At 41.4% G+C, this 5,369-nt stretch overlaps 2 annotated features.

Annotated features, from left to right (window-relative positions):
* Positions 3,626-3,735: an enhancer, noted in NCBI's record as "active region_16790". NCBI's record gives its function as "activates an Ori minimal core promoter by ATAC-STARR-seq in GM12878 lymphoblastoid cells {active_cell/tissue: GM12878}" and the evidence as "EXISTENCE:reporter gene assay evidence [ECO:0000049][PMID:35858748]".
* Positions 3,826-3,895: an enhancer, noted in NCBI's record as "active region_16791". NCBI's record gives its function as "activates an Ori minimal core promoter by ATAC-STARR-seq in GM12878 lymphoblastoid cells {active_cell/tissue: GM12878}" and the evidence as "EXISTENCE:reporter gene assay evidence [ECO:0000049][PMID:35858748]".

Genomic DNA, 5,369 nt, shown 5'->3' on the forward strand with positions numbered 1-5,369 from the left:
ATATTCTCCCTTTCCTTACACATGAAAACATTTCTATAGGGAACTAATCCATTCAAGATCTCTACTTTTGCTGAATTTCATATATTCTGATGTTAATGAGCATCTGATTCTGGGCTTCTGATGCTTTGCCTTGATTCTGTTGATTGCTATTCCTTGCCTTAGCAGCATTGCTTTTCCATGATTATGTCAAAATATTTGCTTTAATCATGTTGCTGTGAAAACCTGAAGCACAAGGTATCCATTCAGTTTTATTCTTCCCCAGTGGGCACAACTTTCACTGGATACTAATGAAAGTTGCAAATGTGGGTAAAGGAGAAACTAGTGCCTTTGGAGTTGGGCTGGTTATTTAAAGATGTATTGCCATGGCACTTAAGGGAAATGATTTATCTGTTTTGTTTTGTCCTCCTATAAATCAAAAACACACCACAGTGTTAAGCATTTCTCAATATTTATGCTAATATAAATTTGGGCTTACATACTTGACACTAATTCAGGAGAAGCTGTGGTATTAGAATAATGGCTACCTGTGACAGCCACAGTGTTATTCAACAAGCACTTTAACTCTTTATTAGGCTATGGATGTTCTGTAGAAAACAGACGCAGTAAATTTCCCTGGCAGAAGCAGCTTCTCTGGTAGGTAAACTGAGATCACATTTTTTGTCTTTTGCTTGGTTTTGTTTTTGACACTCGGTTAGCAATTGCATTTATAAATTTCTTACTAAGGAGGCACTTGGAATAGAGTTAGGAGTCAGAGGATGAGTCCTGTGGGAAATCGGAACCCAGAAAGTTTGACTCTGTAAGTCTTGAATAGTCCATGGATCCAGCAGGCAAACAAATAAAATAAACATTTGCTAAAGAACAGATTTTTGTCGCTTAACTAAGTTTCTTCCTTTTCTGTCATTGTGTTAGCATCACCAAGATGTGACTCTTTCAAGTTCCTCAACCTCTTTGTACCTCAATTTTCTCATAGAAAAATGGGAATAATAATAGAACTCATATCAAAAGAGTCCTCCATCCATCAGAGTGAGAGTGAGTGAGACAAATGCATATAGGTTGTGCCCGTATATGCACGTGGCAGGCAGGCTCACTACAGGTTACCGGGTGTGACAATTGCCACTGACAACTGGGATCCTGATAATATCTCTGAACTCTGGATTGTGTTGGAGAATTTGTGAAAGTCCACTAGACCTCATCAACCACAGGCAATTTTCTGAGATGTCATGTTGGGGCTTCCCCCAACTAGTCTGTAGCAGAGGCCCAGAGACTTGCTGGGGTCTACTGCACTGGGGGTGTCTTCAGTGCCTCTTCAGTCTATGAATTGGGCCAATTGCTGATTAGCTGCCTGGCTGACCTTTGATTGGGGGGAACACTTCAGCTTTACTTTCCATATTTCTCAGTGTCTGAGTGCATTTTTGACATTTCCTATCTGCATCTACCCACAACGTGCCCACATTTAATTTGGTAATTGGCTTCCTCTGGAAGATATAACTAATGTAGATACCATATTTCTCACAAAAATTTGGGAGTTTTTTGATCATTTTTGATGCAAAGTACAATGAGAATTCAAGACCTTATTATTATTCTTACTAAACAAGAGGCGCACCAGGTTTAAAGTCAGATTTGTTTCTGTGTTAATAATACATTTGTATTACCCTTCCTTGCAATCCCCGTCTCTACTCCTGCTATCTTCAATGTGAGTTTGCACTTGTCAAAATGAATAATATGCAGCATCAATTCAAACTCCACTTTTCCAGTGTGTTCAGCTGTAATAGTTTCACTTTGCCTTGATTCTGTTGATTGCTATTAAATCCTGGATTCCTTTAAAATCTGGGAGATGGTCCTTAAAGTCTCACTTATAAATTGTGTGCATTTATTAGAATCTTGCTTAGAACAAAGAGTATTCAAGCCCCTGGAAAAGATTGCCGTTTACTTCTACACTCTAGATAGAAGAGGTTGCAGAAACACATTTTGTTTTTTGAGGAAAAAATTGTTTCAAAGGTATAATAAATGGTTGTGGAGAAGCTCTTCCTTTTCCTTCCTTCCTTCCTTCCTCTGTCCCTCTCTCTTTCTATGTTTTGTCTTGTGGGGGAAAATTATAATCTAAACCCAACACACTTTAGTGAAGACAGCGGATTTTGGCCAAGATTCACAAGTTTCTTTGTGTCTATATGCCATTGATGTAAATGAAATGTTAGTTGAATGTATTATGACAGCATTATTCTCATGGGGTATATTTAGATTTCAAAATCCAGCCCCCAACTCTTTTATTCAATGACTATGGTTATTTTAGACTACGTTTTAAGAAATAATTCCAGATAAAGTATTACAAATATCAAACCTATTTTTAAGAAAATCAACCTACTCCAAATAAACACCCATCCAAAGTGTAGTTAAGTCAGTTGAGCATGGTAAATAAAATCCAGTGGCTATCAATACTGGCTGAGCACACCTGCAGGCACAGCTGTGTGCTGGGTGCTGGGCACAGGAGTCCTGGAAGGCACTGTGACAGAACAGCTTATGGGAGAGGAAGAGGGGACGCTGATTTGTTGAATGCCTGTTATGGTTACAACTAGATGCAGGTTTACCATGAGGCTAATGAACCTTGAGCTTTAGGGCCCACATTTGCACAGATCCTTTCCAAGACCCTGTAGCACCTAAGTAATATGTTCACATGGCCACGTGTTTTGTAAAGTTTGGAAAAATAAGATATTTAAGTGCAGTTAGTTATGATCACTGTTTTTGTTTGCTCCTACTTCCCCTTTTGATAGGTACTTCCTTTAGTATTGAGTAGTGGGTGTGTTTAAAGATGGCCACTAGTATTTTGGGGACCTCGTTAAGGGAAATTGGGTTGGGACAACATTTGGTTTTGGTTTCCTGGTCTGCAGTCACTTCATGCCCAGTTATGTTCTTGCTAACCATCCCAGTGTAGAGACAGCTTCCCAGAATACATGTACTGTCCACCGGCTGACACCCAGCATGGGGGACAAAACTCAGAGCCCAGGCGTTGTATCACAACAGCAACACGCTCTACAGGGCCTGGCATCAGCATCAGAAATAGGTGACCGATGAGGGAGACACAAGATTTGAAATGTACAGAGGCAGAATCTGGTGTCATCAATGACTGGTGAAAACGGAAGCTCTTTTCTGTCAGGAATATACTTAATAATGAAACACAAATCGCCGTGTATAAACCCACCATACATTTTTCTTGGTGTGAGAAAAACGTGAGAAAAATGTGAGAAATAGAATGGATCACAATTCTTGTATTTTTAGGGTACAAACCCGTAGCCATATTATAAACAGAAATATGGCTGTGTTTAATGCTTAATGCATCCAGCTATCAATAATATAAAACAAGTTTTGTTCAATTGAAGTAGAGCAAAGGCTAAATTATCTTTTTATTCTCTCTATAAAAATCATATTACAAAATCATTGTCATATAAAGAAGTGATAAAGACTGTGCAGCCAAATATGGGAAAAATATTATGGAGGTTCATCAGGCTATTAATAAAAATATTGGGTTATTTTTCTGTATTTTGTGATGCATATGGCATTTGGCAGCTTAAAAATATGTAATTTATGGTGATTCCTTTTCTCTTTCTAAGTACGCATTCACTTTCACTTTCTCTTCTAGTCTTTAGACAGTGCTCTCCAAATTGTAAGCACTCTGAGCCCCACACAGTCTGGATCCACCAGGCCCAGGCTCTGTGCCAGTTTCAGGCATGTTAATCTTATTTCAGCTGCACCTTGGCTGGGCATGCTAGAACCTGCTCATCCCTTTTCGTACAAAAAGTGAGGCTCAACAAGGTGGAGTCAGTTTCCCGAGGTGAGATATAAGCGCAGGCCTGGATCCTTCCCCAGGTCAGCCTGTATTCACCACATGCTGGATTCACACCCAAGCCCAAGACTTGGCAGTGAGACTTTTCTCTTTTCAAGGCTGCCCTTGATGTCTGTCCTTTAATGTAGCACTTAGGAGCTTTCTCATTTAGCCTTCACAGTAGTTTTTTTCTTGTTTCATTACACCTCCCTTATTTTCAGCAAACTTTAAAAAATCTATTTCACACTGTGAGCAGAGGTCACCAGGTGGAAATCTCAACCCCTCCTCTTCCTCTGACCCCCGCCCCCAACCATCCTCCTCCTAGCCTGTCCTAGTGGAACTCAGTGAACGATGCCCCTCTGTTTCGCTCCTGCAAACCAGCAGTCCTCCCCACTTCACTCACTCACTCACCTCTGCATTCAGTCAGTTCCAAGATTTGTAGAGTTAAGCTCGTCAATACCTCTTGCCCTCCCTCCATCCCGCCGACCCTCCCCTCTGCCCCATCATTAGCTCAGGCCCGGATTGGGATTGGTTTAACTAAGTGACCTGCTACTTGGCCTCCTTGGTTTAGCTCTTCTTTAATCTGTTCTCAACAATGCTGCCATCTGATTCTATTCCCCTTCTGTTTAGAATCGTTTAAGTCATTCATTTATCATCTAACAAATCCTTACTGAGATGCTAATTTGACGTGGGCAATGGGGACACAGTGGAGAACAAGACAAAGTTCTTACCTTCATGGAGCTCACATTCTAGCATGGGGAGACCCACTATAAACAATGTTAATAAGTTAAGAATATAGATATTTCTAAAATCTGGACAAAAATGTGCATGTCAGAGAGTGATAAATGTTAGGCAGGAAAATGAAGCAGGGTAGGGGACCTAAAGCAAACGAGCAGCAAGGGAAGGGAATTTCTTATTTTGTGTATAGACTGGCTGGAGGAGGCTTCACTGATAAAGCAGATATTTGTCTGAGCAGAGACTTGAATGAAGCAAGGGCGACAAGCCATCGGGACATGCGGAAGAACATTCTAGGAGAGGAAACCGTAGGAAGGAGCATGACTGCCATGCTGGAGGTGCAGCAAGGAGGGTGGAATCTTGGTACCTTGGTGGGAGCTCAGGGGCATGGGTTGACAGCATGGCATTGGGTGTATGTCATGGGAGGCCTCTTGCTATTGAGAGGTTTGGTTTTTACTCTGAGTGGGTTGCAGCATTGTGAGGTTTTGAGCAGAGTAGTGATATGATCTGAGTTGTAGGTAACAAAATCATTCCTGGCAATGTGTTGGGAAGGGATTGTAGAGGGGCAAGAGTAGAAGCAGGGAGAACATCAGGAGACCACTGCCATGATCCAGGCAAGAGGTGATGATGGCTTAGAGCGGATGGCAAGAAGTGGGCAGATTCTGGATGTCTGTTGCATGGTTCTGTGTCCTTCAAGATAAAATGCCGAGTGCTCAGCATATCACACAAGGTCCTTCGTATCTGTCTCCTTCATATTTCTTAGCTGTCCCTAGGGCTTTGCACATACTACTCTGTGTTCCCAGAGCCCCTAGCTACT

This window comes from Homo sapiens, chromosome 2, assembly GCF_000001405.40.
Source record: "Homo sapiens chromosome 2, GRCh38.p14 Primary Assembly".
NCBI lineage: Eukaryota > Metazoa > Chordata > Mammalia > Primates > Hominidae > Homo > Homo sapiens.